The sequence below is a fragment of the Homo sapiens genome, chromosome 4 (genome assembly GCF_000001405.40).
Source record: "Homo sapiens chromosome 4, GRCh38.p14 Primary Assembly".
Taxonomy (NCBI): Eukaryota; Metazoa; Chordata; class Mammalia; order Primates; family Hominidae; genus Homo; species Homo sapiens.
In genome coordinates this window covers 1,597,949-1,616,006 of record NC_000004.12, presented here as the reverse complement: position 1 = coordinate 1,616,006, position 18,058 = coordinate 1,597,949, and the positions used below count along the sequence as shown (strand labels likewise).

Sequence of the window (18,058 nt, the reverse complement as noted above, 5' to 3'; positions counted from 1 at the left end):
GTGATGACAGGCAGGAGGCCCCTTGAGCTGTGGCAGGTTGGTCTCTGTTGAAACAGCCAAACGGATGTCTCTGAAACATCGCCATCCACAGCCTTGCCCATCCCTGCCCAGCCCCTGCCCTAACGTCGCTGCTCTGTCTTTGCTGCATGGCGGCTTTGGAGAAAAGTGCATGGTCCTTCATCTGTGGATGCAGCCAATCCCTTGTTCGGATTCTGCATTTGCACATTTGCCTCCTTGATAAAGTGGCAACCCCCAAATCAGTACTTGTGGTGCTTTTGTGGTCATTCTTGGACATGTGAGGAGCAGCAAACAATTCGGGCCATCCCCTGTGTGCGCCCAGGTGGGATGGGCGTGGCTGCATCCTGTCTTCCATGTGTGCCCAGGTGGGATGGGCGTGGCCACATCCTGTCTTCCGTGCGTGCCCAGGTGAGGTGGGCGTGGCCGCATCCTGTCTTCCATGTGTGCCCAGGTGGGATGGGCGTGGCCACATCCTGTCTTCCGTGCGTGCCCAGGTGAGGTGGGCGTGGCTGCATCCTGTCTTCCATGTGTGCCCACGTAGGGTGGGTGTGGCCGCATCCTGTCTTCCATGTGTGCCCAGGTGGGGTGGATGTGGCCGCATCCTGTCTTCCGTGTGTGTGCCCAGGTGGGGTGGGCGTGGCCGCATCCTGTCTTCAGTGTGCGCCCAGGTGGGGTGGGTGTGGCCGCATCCTGTCTTCCGTGTGGGCCCAGGTAGGGTGGGCGTGGCCACATCCTGTCTTCCATGTGTGCCCAGGCGGGATGGGCATGGCCGCATCCTGTTTTCCGTGTGTGTGCCCAAGTAGGGTGGGCGTAGCCGCATCCTGTCTTCCGTGTGTACCCAGGTGGGGTGGGCGTGGCTGCATCCTGCCTCCCTTGTGTCCCCAGGTGAGGTGGGCGTGGTCGTGTCCTGCCTTCTGTGTGCCCAGGTGGGGTGGGCGTGGCCGCATCCTGCCTTCTGTCTCTGCTCATCTGTAAATGTCCTTTTTTGTGGTTTGCGTGTGCCATGTTTTTGCTCTCGTGTCCCTTTGGTGATTTTGCTGTTTAAAGCGGCCCCTGTGCCCGGTGCTGAAATGCCATCTGGTGTCCGTCAGCATAGGACGGCCATGGGGCACCCCGTGGAGAAATGCGTGTGGGGCGACCTGCCTCTGGGTGGGAGCTGTGGCACCGCTGGCTGTGAGCTTGATGTTAAGGGATCAATATACACGCTCAGTGCGGTGTCTGTGAATAGGGCCACACATAAAGCAGGGCCGGGTATTGATTGGCGGACGGAGCTGTTGTGACCGGAGGCGGCAGGAACCTCCCCTGGGCTGCCCCCAGGAGCAGGAGCTCCCTGTGCAGAGGCTTCCTAGACAGAACCCCAGGGGCAGCGACGGCTGACCTGGCGCCCCGTCCTCTTGCTGCTGCGGTGACGCTGCTCTGGGGCTGTGCCTCTTCTGTTGTTCTGGTGTGTCTCTGCATCCCCCTCACGTCTCTGCATCCCCCTCACGTCTCTGCGTCCCCCTCACGTCTCTGCATCCCCCTCACGTCTCTGCATGCCCCTCATGTCTCTGCATCCCCCTCACGTCTCTGCATCCCCCTCACGTCTCTGCATGCCCCTCACGTCTCTGCATCCCCCTCACGTCTCTGCATCCCCCTCACTTCTCTGTATCCCCCTCACCCCTTCGCCGGTGGGTGATGCTTGGGTGCTCCTCAGCAGGCCCCGTGACTTTGGCTGTGTGGCCTGAAGTGGGGCCGTGGAGCCCCAGGGTCTGCAGACACCCTTTCCACAAGCCCCACAGCCGGCCTCTGGGATGGGCTGCGCGCAGCCTGCAGGCCCCAATCCTCCTGTCCTTGCCGGCGGTGGCTGTGCTATGCCCCTCCAGTGTCTGCTGCTCCACACCGAGTGTGGCAGGTGCCCAGCGTGACTGGCCGCATTCATCTGACTCCTGTGAGGCTGGTCGCGTGAGCATACCAGCCAGCTGGCACCCTCCTCCTGAGAATCGCCGAGTCTTTGGTGCTCACTTCTTCTTCGGGGTTCTCTGACGTTTTCGTATCAGTTTCTGAAGCCTGCTGATGTGATCCCAGCCTCTCCCTCTTTGCGTGGGACCTGAGGTACAGGTGAGGTACAGGTACTGTTCTCCATATAATGATCCTATTATCTTTCTTTCCTAGTTTTTGAGTTATGTAAAAAAATAACTATTGAACTTTATGAAAAGCATTTCCAAGTCTTCTGAGACAATTGTGTGGTTTTTCTCCTGTGGCTCCTGATGGAACTAACCACAGGGGTGATTTTCTGGTGTGGAGCTGTCCCGGCACACCTGGCCTGCTTCACACGGTGTCACTTAAGGTACACTGTTGGATTCATTTCCATGAATGCAGCTTGCCTGTGACACACACACGCATAGCCACGCACGTCGGTGTGGATCTCAGGCCTGCCCGGGACTTTCTTCTCTCGTGGTGCCTGCGTGTGCTTATTTTCGCATCAGGGTTGCAGTGTTTTGCGTGTTTGTGTCCCTCCAACATTCATGTTCAAACATTAGCTCCAACAGTAGGACTAAGACGCAGGGCCTTTGGGAGATGGTTAGGTTTCAGGGGCTCTGCCCTCCTGGCTGGGATTAGGGCCCTTACCGAGGGTTTTGAGGGACTGGGCCCACTCACTTCTGCTCTTTGACAGGGTGAGGACCCGGTGACAGGACGCCATATTGGGAGCGGAGCCTGGGCCCTCGCCAGACACCAAACCTGCCGGCGCCCCTACCTTGGGCTTCCCACCCCCAGTACCTTTCTGTTCTTTGTAAATTACTCAGTCTGTGTGTTTTGTTACAGCAGCAGGGGCGGGACTAAGGCAAGAGTTGGCCATGCCTTGTGCACAGAGGTGGGAATAGCCCTGCTTTCTGTTCTCTGTTCTCTGTTTTCCCGAGTAGCTTGTCCCTGCCGGGTTGGGTTGCTGCAGAGGCTGCCTCTGCTGACCCTTTGGTCACTGGGTAGGGCTGGGAGGCCGTGCCAGTGTGTGCGCAGGTGTCTGTGCTTGCGTGTGCATGCCTGGGTTAGTGAATTTGTGCTGAGATGTACATATGTGTAGCAGGCCATGTGCCTTGTGTGTGTTGGCATGTGTGTGTAAGTGGGTGCCATGTGCCTGTGTGTCAGTATGCGTTTGAGTGTATACATGCGTGTGTGATCACGTGCCCGAGAGCATGCAAGCACCCACATTTGTGCAGGTGAGTGGATGCAGGTGTGTACATGTGTGCACTTGTGAACCTGCCCTGTGTGTACATGTGCTGGTGTGTGCATGCTTGTTTATGCTGTGCGCATGTGGGTGCCGTGTGTCAGTGTGAGCACACGTGTGTCACATGCGGCAGGCCTGGGCGTGTGTGCATGCACCAGGCTTGTATGCATCTGTGCAGGTATCATTTATGCACCTGCCATGTGCGTGTTTACGCGAGTGTGTGTGATGTGTGGGTGCAGGTCCGTGTGGGTGTGTACATGTGTGCCTATGCATGTGTGGTGTGTGTGAGCATGTGTGTGTGTGCGCGCATGCCTTCGTGTGTGTCTGAGGGGGCGGAGCACACCCCTCGAGCGTGCTGGCTGAGAGCACTCGGCCCTGCCTGGGCTTCTCGGGAGGCCCTGGCGGGAGCCCAGTAGCCACTTTAACCTTCACTGGCAGCACCGTGAGAGGTCTTGCACGACCTGGTGTAAATACAGCAATCTGCACTTCAGATAAATACAAGATGCATCAAAAGATTTAAGGCACCTGTTGTGTATTTAAAAGACTTATATCTTGTTTATGGTTCAGTATAAAACATACAGCTGATTTATTTAGTGGCTGGCCCATTGCAGAGGAAATCTCATTTCAATCATAAACGGCAGGGTTTGATTTAAGAATTCATTCTTTAATGGGTCTGCAATGTTCAAATTTAAACCCATTCAATTCATCAGCCAAATATTCAATATGGGCACAGGGAACTCATTTAGGCAAACAGAGACTTTTAATATAAATTTTCCGGGAGATTTCTCCATCGATTCCGCAGTTTAGTGCAAAATGATTTGTGCGATACATTCTTGGGGATCAATGCCGCCGGTCAATGGCTCCTATAAAACCACCTCCCCTGCCAGGCACGGGTCAAGGAACTTTAGCTCTCGGGTAGCTGCTCGGCCGGACAGCAGCACTCTGCTGGAGTCGTCCCTTCTCTCTGCATGTGCCGCCATCCACTGGCCACCTCCTGGCAGAGGGGCTGCCTCCAGCCTGTGCTGAGAACCTTTGGCATGGCCAGGGTGGGGGGCCCTCACCCTCCATGCTGGCCCCTTGCCCACCGTGTGGACAGAGACTGCAGGGCTCAGGAGCCAGGGCCCCCACGGAGGCGCCTCTGCTGCTGGCACATGGAGCAGCCTGGCACGGTGCTGCCCGCCCAGGCCTTGGTACCTGCCTGTGTCTGGAGGCCCAGCAGGGGCTACATGTGGCCTTTGAAGTGAGGAGCTGCCTGTCTTCTTGTGCACCAGGGGCACCTCAGGAGAGGCTCTGCCAGCTGGGCCAGTGCAGGTCAGCTCAGTTCCCTGCCCTGGGACTGGTGAGGAGCCTCTGTGACCTGAGCTGCCCTTGTGGCCTGAGCTGGGTCTGAGGGCTGCTCTCCAGGACAGGCCAGGAGGACGGGGGGAGACTGACTGCTGAACACCAAGGCTTCGAACTGGGGTGGCGGGGGCCCCCCTCCAGCCAGGGGTGTCTCTCAGGGCCCACGGACAGACCCCACACCCCCATATCCTGGCCCAGCCAGTGCTCCAAGGACTGAGCTGAGCAAGAGGAGTGAAGGCCACACACAGTGTCGCTGCAAATGAGGGACACCGCCCACTGCGCCCCTGCTTCCTGTGAGCCGGGCTGGGTCAGGCGGCTGAGACGCACCTCAGGGTGGCCCAGAGGCCCCGTTCTGTGCCCCCATTCCCCAGCTAGGGCCCTGAGGATCTGCCGGAGGTCACCAGGCAGGGTTCAAAGCCACATGGTCCAGCCCACGTCCGTGCAACCAGCAGGTGCCAGTGGCAGGGCTGTGCCCTGGAGCAGGGTGGGTGCTCAGAGTGTGGGCAGCCTGAGGGCCTCGGGTGTGCTGCGGACAGGGCTGGTCCAGGGGTGAGTCGGGGGCAGAAAGAGGGCAGCCGGGGCCCGGGTTGGGGGCAGGGGCCAGTGTTTTGAGTGTGGCCGCAGAGCCTGGCAGGGCAGATGGGGGCGTCTGGCTGCCCTGCCCTGTCATGGGGCTGTGCAGTGGGGGAGAGCCTGGGAGGTGCCCCTCCAGCCTTGGCCTGGGGTCACAGCCACCTCAGCCGCCTGCCCAGCTGGGGTGCCCAGGCCTCTGTCCCCCACCCCAGGCCGCCCCCCACGTCGCGGAATCCCTCCCAAGCCCAGATGCCCTGCCTGGGGACTTTGCAGTCTCTCCACCCCAGGCCACCCCCACTGCCCTCCCTGTTGTCCTCCAGGCCCTAGTCTGGCCCTCCCAGTGTTGGGCACCTCTTGCTGCTCTGGCCCCGAAAACAGGGGCCCTGCTGGGATCCCCGGTCACCATCTCCACAGACCTTCGAGGCACGTAGCCCCTGCACCACGCCTGGGCATCCGAGAGCCTGCTCACTTGTTCATCCCTCCCCTTGCCCGTCTGCCCCTTGGGCTCCCCTGCACGGGCGGTGTCCTGAGGCGGGTGGCAGGTCTTCCGGCAGGCAGCTGGGGTCCGGGGGCCAGGGGAGGCAGCTGGAGTCTGGGGGCCAGGGGAGGAGAAATTCTTGGTGTGGGGGCAGCGCGTTGAGTGGGGTGTAGGGAGGGGTTGGGGAAGGGGGACAAGCTGCTGTGGACGGGCCCAGTCCTGGGTGCCCCCTCGGCACTGAGCTGGCAGGGGGCTCAGCATCCATGATGAGGGGTTATAGGTGCTCACAAGCATAGGGAAGTCGCAGGGGCTGAGACACCCATCTCGGGGGCCGCCACAAAGCCCTGGGTTCCAGGGAGGCCATATTAGTCCATTCTCATGCTGCTATAAAGAACTGTGTAATTTATAAAGGAAAGAGGTTATTTATTTATTTATTGAGACAAAGTCTCTGTTGCCCAGTCTGGAGTGCAGTGGCGCGATCTCGGCTCACTGCAGCCTCTGCCTCCTGAGTTCAAGCGATTCTCCCACCTTAGCCTCCCGAGTAGCTGGGATTACAGGCGCCTGCCACCATGCCTGGCTAATTTTTATATTTTTAGTAGAGACGGGGTTTCACCATATTGGCCAGGCTGGTCTTGAACTCCTGACCTCAGGTGATCCACCTGCCTAGGCCTCCCAAAGTGCTGGGATTACAGGCGTGAGCCACTGCACCTGGCCAGGAAAGAGGTTTAATTGACTCACAGTTCCATGTACTGAGGAGGCCTCAGGAAACTTATAACCCTGATGGAAGGCGCCTCTTCACAGGGCAGCAGGGGAGAGGGTGAGAGCCTGGCGAAGGGGGAAGCTCCTTATTAAACCATCAGATCTCGTGAGACTCACTTGTTGTCAGGAGAACAGCAGTATGAGGGTATGTGCACCCATGATCCAGTTACCTCCACCGAGTCCCTCCCATGGCATGTGGAGATTATGGGAGTTACAATTCAAGATGAGATTTAGGTGGGGACACAGCCAAACCATATCAGAGGCCCCGGGGCAGGTGCAGGCCTGGGCCTTCCCGTGAGAGTCAGTGAGGCCCTGGAGCCTGTCAGGACCTGGGGGGCTGGAAGGAGGCCCGAGGGGCTGATGAGGGATGGGGGTGTGGGGCTGGCCATGGACCCCAGGCCCCGGACTCTGTTTCTGAGAGTGGGGGACCCCAGGCAGCAGAGACAGCCCTGCCAGAGCCACATCCTGAGGGGAGGGGATCCCTGAGACCAGCGACAACTCTGGACAGCCCTCTCTCCCAGAGGCCTAGGGGGCTCCTGAGCAGGAGCCAGGGCTTGGGGTCTGCAGCACCGCTGGGCTTGGTTCCTGACGTGGATTCAAGGCCAAGTCTGAACTGCATCGGCAGCCGCCATCCCATTTGCTCAGTGGTGCAGCGCTGGGCCATCTGTGTCTCTCCCTCCTGCTCCTCCTTGGGCCCCGCCTCCAAACCCGCATGGTCCCTGTCCCTGGCGCCCTCCGTCCCGTAAGCCCAGCATACGAGGATTCACCAGGAATGAAAAGCAGAACCCATATTGATTTCATTTCCAAATTATTAATCAGCTTCACAGCTCAGCAGAAGTATTGCATTGTTCAGCTTGGACAGATCCAAACGGCTCTCCCTCCGGCGAGCAGGGATGGGTGAAGGACGGGGAGTGATGGACGGGGCTGAGGCCAGGCACTGGTGGGCAGCGGGTGTCAGGTGCCGGAGCCGTTACTAAGCAGAGTGTGTGTGTAGCGGCTGCAGGACCCTCCTTGGGTTTCAGCCACTGCTGACCTGACTTTGCTGCCTCTAAGCCTCCCCCACCCACTGGGCCCTCCCACCAGGGGCCTCACCTCTTGCCACGGAGCCCCTCAGGAACCAGCAGGACAGGCCCCTGGGACAACAGAGAGCAAGACGGAGACAACTGCAGCCTCCACCCGTGGCTGGCGCCTGGGCGGGGAGGGGCCCGTGAGCATGGAAACAGCAGATCCACGCAGTTTCAGGCCACCGTCGCCACTGTGGAGGGAATTATGGGGCTGGGGGCACCCAGGACGGGGCTCTCTCAGGAGGCCATGTTTACACGGAGGTCTGGAGGTTCAGGAGGGGCCGCCTGGGGTGGGGGTCTCAGGGTGCAGGCACGGCAGGTGGAACACATAGAAGATCGGAGAGGCCGGGAGGGGCTGAGGAGACCAGGGGGGCCATAGGGGCACCATCAGTGGCTGAGCTGGGGTTTTGTTCTCTGTGTCCTGGGAAGGTGATTTTTTTGTTTTTGTTTTTATTTTTCTGAGACAAAGTTTTGCTCTGTCACCAAGGCTGGAATGCAGTGGCCCAATCTCGGCTCACTGCGACCTCCGCCTCCCGGGTTCAAGTGATTCTCCTGCCTCAGCCTCCTGAGTAGCTGGGATTACAGGCTCGTGCTACCACATCCGGCTACTTTTGGTGTTTTTTTTTTTTTTGAGACGGAGTCTCACTCTTTTTGCCCAGGTTGGAGTGCAGTGGCGTGATCTCGGCTCACTGCAACCTCTGCCTCCTCGGTTCAAGTGATTCTCATGCCTCAGCCTCCCGAGTAGCTGGGATTACAGGCACACGCCTCCACGCCCAGCTAATTTTGTATTTTTAGTAGAGACATGGTTTCTCCATGTTGATCAGGCTGGTCTCCAACTCCCGACCTCAGGTGATCCGCCCACCTCGGCCTCCCAAAGTGCTGGGATTAGAGGTGTGAGCCACTGCACCCGGACTGGGCGGGTGAAGCCAGGGCTTGGCATGGCTTGATTTCCACAGGATGGATGTGGATTAGGGGACATCAGTGGTGGGGGGGCGGCCTCACTTAGGCCCGAATGGATGAAAGGATGTGATATGGAAAATTCACTTCAAGATGCTCTGGGGGATGGGTGGGGTGGAGATGGAGCCACTTTGCTCCTGAGTTGACGATTGAAGGCCGTGGGTGAATGGCACGAGGTCCCATGCTACAGGTCTCACTGCTTTTGTGTACGCACGCACGTTTCCATAATAATAGAATAAAAACTGGAATGAGACACCCACTAGGATGGCTATGATTAAAAAAAAAAAAAACCCAGAGGCTGGATGCAGTGGCTCACACCTGTAATCCCAGCACTTTGGGAGGCCGAGGCAGGCGGATCACTTGCGGTCAAGAGTTCAAGACCAGCCTGGCTAATAGGGTGAAACCCTGTCTGTACTAAAAATACAAAAATCAGCCGGGTGTGGTGGCGCATGCCTGTAATCCCAGCTACTTGGGAGGCTGAGGCAGGAGAATCGCCTGAACACGGGGAGCAGAGGTTGCAGTGAGCTGAGATCGGGCCACTGCACTCCAGCCTGGGTGATAGAGTGAGACTCCGTCTCAAAAGAAAGAAAACAAAAAACCCAGAAAGTGGCAAGCGTTGTGGAAGCTGTGGAGACGCCGAAACCCTCGTGCCCTGTTGGTGGGAACGTGAGGTGGTACAGCTGCGGTGGGGAACAGCATGGCAGCTTCCAAAACGTTAAACAGAATCTCCAGGTGATCCTGAAATTCCGCCTCTGGGTACAGGCCCAAGGGAGTGGAAAGCAGGGGCTGGGACAGCTGCACCCGCATTCACAGCAGCGCTTTCCCCGACAGCTAGGGGGCGTGGCTGCCCGAGTCCCTCGCAGGGGAACGCTACACAGGGGTCCATCCGTGCAGTAGACTATTATGCAGCCAGGATAAGGAAGGGGGTTCTTCAATGTGCTTCAGGAAGGCGCACCTTCGGGACACCATGCTGAGTGAAACGAGCCATCGTCAGAGGACCCGTCCCACATAATTGAGTCGTTTATGCACTTGTCATTATGCACTTGTCTGAGTCACGCGGTAGGCAGGACACACACCTCACACACTCTGGGGGTCTGGGGTCTGCCTCGGTCCTCTGCATGAAACAGTGGGGCTTCTAGAATCTGAAGGGCATCGGGTCTCGGCTATCTTAGCAGTCCCGCGAGGAGCCCGCGGCGGGAAGAGCTTACCGTGGAGGGGTGGGGAGTGTGGCTTTTGTCTAATGACATAGACCCCAGTAAGAGTCATAGGAGGCCGGGTGCGGTGGCTCATGCCTGTAATCCCAGCACTTTGGGAGGCCGAGGCGGGAGGATCATGAGGTCAGGAGATCAAGACCATCCTGGCTAACACGGTGAAACCCTGTCTCTACTAAAAATACAAAAAAAAAAAAATTATCCAGGTGTGGTGGCAGGCGCCTGTAGTCCCAGCTACTCAGGAGGCTGAGGCAGGAGAATGGCGTGAACCCGGGAGGCGGAGCTTGCAGTAAGTTGAGATCGCGCCACTGCACTCCAGCCTGGGCGACAGAGCGAGACTCCATCTCAAAAAAAAAAAAAAAAGAGTCATAGGAAACCCGCAGCATTTTGGAGAGAATTCCTGGCACAGGCCCTGCTAGGCCAGCTAACGTCAGTCATGCTGCCTACAAAACAAAGAGAGCACTTCCAGTTTGGGCTAAAGAGGACAGGAACGGGACAACGAGGGTCCCCCTGAACTCCAGTGGGGAGGGGGAAAGGGGAGAAGACTCTGAAGCCTGGGCCGGGAGCATGAGAGCCACCAGGACTCCTGGGAAGAAGGGGTGCGCCAGTCAGCAACCTCGAAAGCTGTGCCCGCCCCAGGGTTTCAGAACTGCTGCGGGCGGTGCCTGCAGGTGCCTCTGGGCAGCCCCACCCTTGAGTGCAGGACGTGGGCAGAGCTCACCCTGCAGGGTCGGCAGGGAGCCCTGGGTCTCTGGGGTGCACGGAGGAGGCACCCCGAGGAGCCGCGTCCACACCTGGACCCGCAGGGAGAGGAGGGATGGGAAGTGTGGCTGGAGGGCGGCTGTGGCAGAACACGCTTTTCAAAAGTGGTTGCGCGTCGTCCCCTCCCTCACGCTCATCTTGCTCTGGGCCTCTCACAACCACACTCCGAGTCAGGCTCCACGCCCAGCCCCTGGAAGCTGGGTGCAGGGTCCTTTGGTGGGGGCGGAATGGGCGACTCCAGGCTGGGTCACCGGCACGGCTGTCTCCTGGGTTCTCCTGAGCACTTGCTCCTGGGACCTGGAGCTGGGCTGTGAGGAAGCCCCAGCCACATGGGGAGGATGGGGAGGCTGCGCTGGGAGTTCCGACTCCAGTCCCAGCTGAGGCCGCGCTGAGAGCACCCAGCCAATGCCTCCGACGTTGTGGAGCGGAAACAACCCCACCCCCACCGCCTACTCTGAATTCTGGGCCTGGAGGCCGTGGGCATCGTGAAATTGCCCGGTGGAAGCCGCTCAGCTTTGGAGTGGTTGGTGCTGCCACAGCACACCCTGCACACCCGAGACTCAGCAGCCAGGTGGAGCCCGGTGTCTGCAGGTGGCGGGAGCAGGGTCTGGCTCAGATGCCAGCAGGCAGGTGTCCCAGAGAGAGGGGCAGGTTCCTGCCAAGCAGGAGATGTGGAGGCCCCACGTGCGTGTTGAGAGGGGGCAGGAGGGGGGCAGGGCCAGAGCCTTGGGGAGTTGAGGTCCTGGGAGCAGCTGGCAGACAGCACTGCGGGAGCGGGGCAGAGCACTGGGGGAGCCGCCGCAGGGTGGGGGTGGTGCTCGGTCTGGGTTTTCTTTGCTTTAGGCTGGGGATGCTTTTTCTGGAGTGGGGCGGGGGCTGCAGCGGATGCTCTGGGGAAGCAGGAGGAGGCGGGAGGGCGTGGGAGCAATGTTAGTCCCGGGAAGGGCCCCAGAGGATGGCCGTGTCCGTCGGAGGAAGTGGGCAGTGCAGTCCCTGTGCTGTCCTGGGGGAAGTAGGGTGGTCATGCGGTCCCAGCACTTGTTGGAGAGAGGGAGTGAGGGGCCCTGACCCGCCCTGAGTCTCAGTTGTGAGGCCAGGGCGCCGTGCGGCTTTGTGAGTGGGGGGCTCCCTGGGGTCTCTCGGGGATGTGCTGACCTTGGGTGTCCCCCACGCCCTGCACACTGAGGCCCCCTCCTGCCCACGGTACGGGACCCTCCACGTTCCTGTCCAGGGTCCAATTCCAGGCTCCAGGTCTGCGCCCTCAAACAGCACTGGGTGCCCCCACCCCAACCTGCGTAGGCAGCCACCGCCTACACCCCGCCTGAGCCCTCCCCATCTCCTTTCTACTCCGGCCGCTGCACACGTGGGGTCTGACTCAGCCCTTGGGCAGCCCTGGGTGGGTGCGGCAGCCTCGAGCCTTCTTCCCCACCCATCCACACAGCCTGGGACCATCCTGGGTCTGCACCAGGCAGCCCCTTCCCGGGGGCAGAACCTTTCCTCGGGTCCTGTCCACCCCAAATGTTTAGAGTTGGGGGCAGCAGGGGCAGGCACCCTGCCTGGACCACCCCGCGATGATGGCCCCAGTGTGGCCTGGGCAGGGTCTCTGAGGGCAGCCGGGCAGGGCTTTTCTGGCAGGCTGGAGGCAGCAGCTGTGCCCATGAGGGCTTGTGAGGGATGGGAACCCTCCTACCTGGCTGGCCCAAGGTGGCCTTGGCCCTGTCGCCCCGAGAACTGACACCGGCCAATGTCAGGCCTGCAGCAATCGCTGTCTGCTCTGCGTAGGGCACTGCCCAGGACGCCTGCCAGCCTCTGAGGCTCCACACCCCAGGCTCCCTGGGGCCATGTTTTGTGACATTGCTTCTTCCACTTTAAATCTGCTTAACCCTTTCTTTGGGGCAATTTCAGCACGTCCCGAGGGGCTCTTCAAGCTGCAGGCCGCACACACACTGCCAGGTGGTGGGGGCTACCTGGTGGGAGCCGTGTCAGTGGGGCCAGGGATGCTTGGGAGGGGCAGGGCTGCCTTCACCACCCAGAGCCAGGCTGGACCCCTCCAGTGCCAGGGTCTGTAGAGGGAGGAAGCCTCCTGGGACCATCGGCAGAGGGATGGGGTGCCGGGCCCCACCCTGCCCCTGAGCTGCCCCAGGCCATTCCTACCCACTGGGGCTTCCAGCCTTGGTCAGCAGGGTGTCCTCTCCTGTCCTGCGGTGGGCGGCCCAGCAGCCTCTGTCCCCGCCTCTCTGTTGCTGTGGTCGGCTCTGCCTTCTGCCCTGCAGAGGGGAGCCGTCTCGCCCCTCAGGGACTGTGGCTGGCCTGTCTCTTGTGGGCCCCTTGAAGGTCTGGCTCTTCCCCTCCCCGTGGGTGACGATGCTTGGCTCCTGGGTGTGCCCACCAGCGTTTACCCATTCCACCCTCCTGGTGGCCCCACGCCTGCAGGCTGTTGCCATCCCATGTCTTATCCAAGGAAACTGAGGCACAGAGAGGCTCCTTGCTACTCGGCTCGCCCCACTCATACACACAGCTGGGCTTCCCACCGAGCAGGAGCCGCCGCACTGGGCTTGGGGAAAGGTGGCGAGAGGACGCAACCTCTGAACTCAGGGCCCTCGTTGTGAAATGCGCCACCCCCGAGCTGTGTCCGGACGGCTGGGAGATGGGAGAGGATGGAGGACAGGGCAGCCAGGAGGGCGGCCCCCATGACCCGAGTGCCGTGGCTGGCCTGGCGGGTAGACGGAGGGGGCGTCCTGGAGTGGTGTGAACCATGGCCCTGGTGGGCCGGCTTCCAAGCAGCCCCTCCCGCCGGAGCCGGCTCCTGCTGCCCTCAGACCCCTCCTGGGGCCCTAGTGGACCTCCTTCCCACGGTGGGTGGGCCGAGACCCCTGGGTTCCGGGACCGTCACACCCGCACTTGCCACTGTCGTACCTTACACCGGGTCTCGCTCAGCCTGGCCTCGCAGCTCCTGCCTGGCGGGGAGGGGGCGCGCGGAGGGGCCCACCCAGACCTGAAATAATTCACTTTCTCTCCCCCCAGCTTTGAAGCGAGTCAATTTTTCAAACCACATTTGCTCTCTTATTGTTTATTTTCGGGCAGCAGCAGCAATTTTCGAGGCCGCTGCCGATACCCACCTCAGATATCTCTCGGGTCACCTGTCATTCCAGAAAGGTCAGCGATTCATTTAAAGTTTCATCACTCTTCACATAAGCAGGCAGACACCATTTCATTTGCCGCAGCCTTTGTGTGGGCCAGAGACCCCAGCCTGTCGCCACCTTCCTGGCCAGGGAATTGACGGCAAGACCGGCACCTCTGCCTGTGTGTTGCACCCACTGCCCCTCCCCTGCCCCTGCAGCCACCTAAACAGACTTTCATTTGGAGGCAATTTGGGAGGTGGGGGCCCAGCTCCCCCGGCAGGGCTTCTTGCCCCAGATCTCTTAAAATGGAATTATCCAATTATGCCAGGCCCCCCTGCATCTCTGCCCAGCCACTGTGTGGATGACACCATCAGCCATGCATGAGGCAGGCCTAGTCCTGGGTGTAGCCGCCGGCACCACCATGAACCAGCCCTGGTGCCCTGGCACGCCAAGGTGACACCCACCGTCCCATCTCCCCCGGCCCACCTCCACCATCCCACCTCCCCCGTCCTACCTCCCCCGGCCCACCTCCACTGTCCCACCTCCCCCATCCCATCTCCCCCGGCCCACCTCCACCGTCCCACCTCCCCTGGCCCACCTCCCCAGGCCCCACACAAGCTGGACTGGCCGCCCATCCCCCCTCCCCCAGCCTCGCTCTAGCTGGATTGGCCACCCGTCTAGTTTGGCACCTAGTCCCCATCGGGCACTTTGGGTCAGGCAGCCCACGTGCCAGGCCCTGCCATAGCTTAGGGCCCCCAGGAGGGACACATCCTCTCCCCAAGGAGCTCACAGCCCAGGGGCAGGGGGTGCCAGGGGAGGGCAGGAGAGACAAATGTTGCTCCTGGGGAATGGGTGATCCTGGCAGGCCTTGAGGGTTGGGCATGGCAGATGGGGTGCATGGCAGATGGGGCGCATGGCAGATGGGGCGCATGGCAGATGGGGCGCATGGCAAATGGGGCGCAGCCTGTTCTGCAGACTTTCCAGGTGGGGGCTGGGGGGCGCAGTGCACCCGGGAGGGGCAGCAAGGCACAGGTGGGTGCAGGAGGAGGCCTAGGAGCTGGGATGACAGGGGCCGGGTCCCATGGAGCTCCTCCCGCCACGCCCTGACTGCTCAGCCCTGGCCTGTGTGAACGGTGGACGGATGGGCCCTTGAGGGTGGTGTGTCCGGAAGAGCAGCTGGAAGGGCGAGGCCGCTGCCTGGTGTCCCCACTGTACGGGGGGCCCCCGGAAAGCAGTGCCCAGGAAAGTGCAGGTTTTTCCTGCATGGGGGACCCAGGTGGGTGTCCGACCTGTTGCGGCTCCAGGGGTCCCCTGGGAGGTCTCTGGCCCTGCCCGTTGGCAGCCTGGGATGAGGTGGGGGCCTGACTCAGCGGACAGGGTCTGGAGGACTGTCCCAACCCCCACCCCCACCTCCACTGTGGCAGCTGGGGCAGGGCTGGGCAGGAGGGCTCTTGAGATGGAGGCCTCAAGACAGCTGGCCCTGGGCGTGGCCCTGGGGGGCGTCTGCCTGCTGTTCTAGGAGCCTTGAGCTTCTCGGCCCCTCCCTCCAGGGCTGGGCCCTGGGGCAGGGCTGGTCGCCATGTCCCAGACGTCGAGCCTAACAGCCTGGGCCTGACAGGAGCCGTCTCCTCCGAACCCGCACTTGCCCCGCAGAGGATGCAGTGGTACAGATGCTAAGATGGAAGACACAGCGACAGGGAAGTGGTCAGGGCTGGGTGCAGGGGGATTGCCTGAGCCGGGGAGGCTGAGGCAGGAGGATCGCTTGAGCCTGGGAGGTCCAGGCTGCCGTGAGCTGTGATCACACCACTGCACTCCAGCCTGGACGACAAAGCAAGATCCTGCCTCAAAAACGAAAAAGAAAAAGAAAAGAAGTGGTCAGGTGGAGCAGGGCAGAGGGGAGGCAAGCCGATGGGGACCGCAGTGTGCCGGCCACAGCAATGGCGCCTTTCTTGCTCACCCTGGCCGTGTGGGGCCTGCAGGGACAGTGCACACGTGGGGTCCCAGCCCCTGCCAGGGCCTCGGGTGGGTGGGTGGCCTCCTGGTGCAGCCCTGTCCTCCCTGCGCTGGGGGCAGCAGTAGGGGAGGGGCTGAGGGTTAGAGGGAGAGTGGCTCCCTGGCCCCACCTGCCTATAGACATGGCTTTCTGGTTCATTCGGCCTGGGGAACTGCCGTGTCCACCTGCTGACTTGAGGGGCACCCTGAGGCTCCTGTGAGGGGGTGAACCCAGCCCCTGCGTGCCCCAACTTCAGGCCAGAGCCCTCCTCTGCAGAGGAGCCCCAACTCTGACCCCTTCTGGAGTAGGGCACCCCCTCCTGCCCCAGCCCTCAGCTCACCTCACACTAAAACCGGCAGCAGGGCTTGGCTCATCCCTGGCAAGGCAGCCCCCACCTCGGCTCAGCTGAGTGCCTGGACTCTGGCGAGGGGAGGACTTGCTCAGTGGTCCCTGCATTAGGGAAGTGGCCTGTGCCCCAACCATAGCACCCAGTGAAAAGTGGGAGGGGCCTCGCCTAGGTGGGAGAGGGGGTCACACGTGGTGGGGCCTGCATCAGGGGAAGGGAGAGGGAGAGGAGGAGGGGGAGGAGAGGAAATAGGAGGGGGAGGGGCGGCAGTACCCCAAGGGACCGCCACAGCGCCATGCAGCCCACACCCTCTGCCCTGCCGTTTTCTTTCCTGGGAGCCAACACTCAGCGCCACTGGCCCCACTGGGACTCGGAGTGCCTGTGCAGGTGTCTGGGGTGAGTATGCGTGTGGCTGGCAGGTGGCGGGGTGTGTGGTGTCTGTGCACGTGTGTTTGACTAGTGTGGGTATGTATGTGTGTGTTGTGAGGGGGCGCAGCCTCCCAGAGGGCCAAGCGGGGTGGGCTGGGCTGGGCCAAGGCCCGCCTAGGCTCTTGCAGAGGTAGGGGAGGTGCTCTGGTCCCCCGGGCTGAGGGCAGTCCCCACCCTTGAAAATTGTGCTATTTGCACAATTCTTTCTCATGCATTCCACCTGTGCTGACGAGGCCGCACGCCTCCCCAGCCTCCTGTCCAGTGCTGCTCCCGTGGCTGTGGGGCCTGGGGCCACTCATTTGGCCTCTGTGCCTTGTCTCCTTGTCTGCGAAACACTCGAGATGTCCCTCAGGTCCAGGTGCCATGCCCTGCCCCCGATGGGCTCCTGGCTGGCCCGAGTCCCACTGTGCTTCTGCTCCGGCCAAGTACCGGGCGGAGTTGTTGGAGCTGACGGCCCTGAGCTCCGGCACCCTGGATCCCCTGGCCTCGGTGAAGTACCAGGCAGGGTTGGAGCTGACGGCCCTGCGCTCCGGCACCCTGGATCCCCTGGCCTCGGCGAAGTCCCGGGCGGGGTTGGAGCCGACGGCCCTGAGCTCCAGCACCCTGGATCCCCTGGCCTCGGTGAAGTACCAGGCGGGGTTGGAGCCGACGGCCCTGCGCTCCGGCACCCTGGATCCCCTGGCCTCGGTGACGAAGGGTCTGCCAGGCCAGGAGGGAAGCGGGCCGGGGAAGGAACGCGGTGCTGCACCCGCACGCACCCCTGCGCACGCTACAGAGAGGAGAGAGAAAGATAACTGATGGGTAGTATTTTAAGGCATATTAACCCAATTACAAGTATATTTTTACAATCATGACTCCAACATTTATCACGCAGCATTTATTAGCCCCGGAGCTGGGCTGTGCCACGTGAAGGCTGTGAAACAGCAGCATTTCATTACGCTCCGCCCGCCGGGCTCCATCCTGCGGCTCTTAAACCGCATGATTTTATCAAAATCTTCGGAAATTGAAGCAATCACTAAAAGGTGTCGGGGAATTAAAATGTCCTGTCTCAGTGTAAGAGATACACTTCTCGTAACATATATCAGTGGCTCTTTTTTTTTAAAGACACATTACTATGCAGAGAAAAGGCATCAAACCGGGAGGGGGTGCGTTCCAGAAGGATCGGACGACAGCAATTCTTCACGCTTAAAAATCGTCTCCTGAGGGACGTGCTGCCTGCAGAACTGCTTCTGTGGCCGCTCTGGGAGTGCCAACGTGGCTGTCTTACCCACTTCCTTTCTCAGCCTCATTGTTTGGGGATTGCGGCCCCCGTCAGCCTCTGCTTTGAGGAAACAGATCCAGGCAGCCCCTCAACCAGAGTGGGGGTCCTGGCTCCCGTCCGTGCCCCTCCGGGCCAAGGGCCTGGCGGAAGGCGCAGCGTTTGGAGTTGGCCCCACGTTTTTCCCGCACACTCCATGCAGCTGCGGCTGCAGGCCTCGGATCAGAGCAGGCAGTCCGCTGTGCCTTCCCCACCGCCCAGGGCCTCGGTGGAGCTGTTTTTCTCCCAGAATCTTCTCCCACTTACCTCCCCACAGCCGGAGAAGGGGCAAGAAGGGGCTGGGCCCCTAGGGGCTCACAAAGGGGGTACGTAGGCAGCAGCAGTGGCCTTCGGCTGGGCCTGGGGATGCAGCTTGGCTCTCAAAGGGCACCTTCCAGGTGTTTCTTTTAGAACAGTCCTGGGGTTCCCATGAGGTCATTCCGCCAAGGTCCTCAGTTCTTTTTGGAGCCTCGCTCTGTTGCCGAGGCTGGAGTGCAGTGGTGCGA

At 60.9% G+C, this 18,058-nt stretch overlaps 1 protein-coding gene across 1 annotated transcript in view, besides 5 other annotated features; it reads left to right on the top strand.

Moving 5' to 3' along the window:
- Nucleotides 1-18,058, top strand: part of FAM53A (family with sequence similarity 53 member A) — a 111,956-nt gene that overhangs the window by 70,011 nt on the left and 23,887 nt on the right. The window lies entirely within an intron of this gene.
- Nucleotides 650-1,151: an enhancer, noted in NCBI's record as "H3K4me1 hESC enhancer chr4:1616583-1617084 (GRCh37/hg19 assembly coordinates)". NCBI's record gives its function as "activates a minimal SCP1, AML or CMV promoter by ChIP-STARR-seq in primed H9 embryonic stem cells {active_cell/tissue: H9 hESC(primed)}" and the evidence as "EXISTENCE:reporter gene assay evidence [ECO:0000049][PMID:30033119]".
- Nucleotides 3,628-4,255: an enhancer, noted in NCBI's record as "VISTA enhancer hs526". NCBI's record gives its function as "enhancer in: forebrain[4/4]" and the evidence as "EXISTENCE:transgenic organism evidence [ECO:0001131][PMID:17130149]".
- Nucleotides 10,112-11,102: an enhancer, noted in NCBI's record as "H3K27ac-H3K4me1 hESC enhancer chr4:1606632-1607622 (GRCh37/hg19 assembly coordinates)". NCBI's record gives its function as "activates a minimal SCP1, AML or CMV promoter by ChIP-STARR-seq in primed H9 embryonic stem cells {active_cell/tissue: H9 hESC(primed)}" and the evidence as "EXISTENCE:reporter gene assay evidence [ECO:0000049][PMID:30033119]".
- Nucleotides 11,103-12,094: an enhancer, noted in NCBI's record as "H3K27ac-H3K4me1 hESC enhancer chr4:1605640-1606631 (GRCh37/hg19 assembly coordinates)". NCBI's record gives its function as "activates a minimal SCP1, AML or CMV promoter by ChIP-STARR-seq in naive and primed H9 embryonic stem cells {active_cell/tissue: H9 hESC(naive and primed)}" and the evidence as "EXISTENCE:reporter gene assay evidence [ECO:0000049][PMID:30033119]".
- Nucleotides 16,468-17,294: an enhancer, noted in NCBI's record as "H3K27ac-H3K4me1 hESC enhancer chr4:1600440-1601266 (GRCh37/hg19 assembly coordinates)". NCBI's record gives its function as "activates a minimal SCP1, AML or CMV promoter by ChIP-STARR-seq in primed H9 embryonic stem cells {active_cell/tissue: H9 hESC(primed)}" and the evidence as "EXISTENCE:reporter gene assay evidence [ECO:0000049][PMID:30033119]".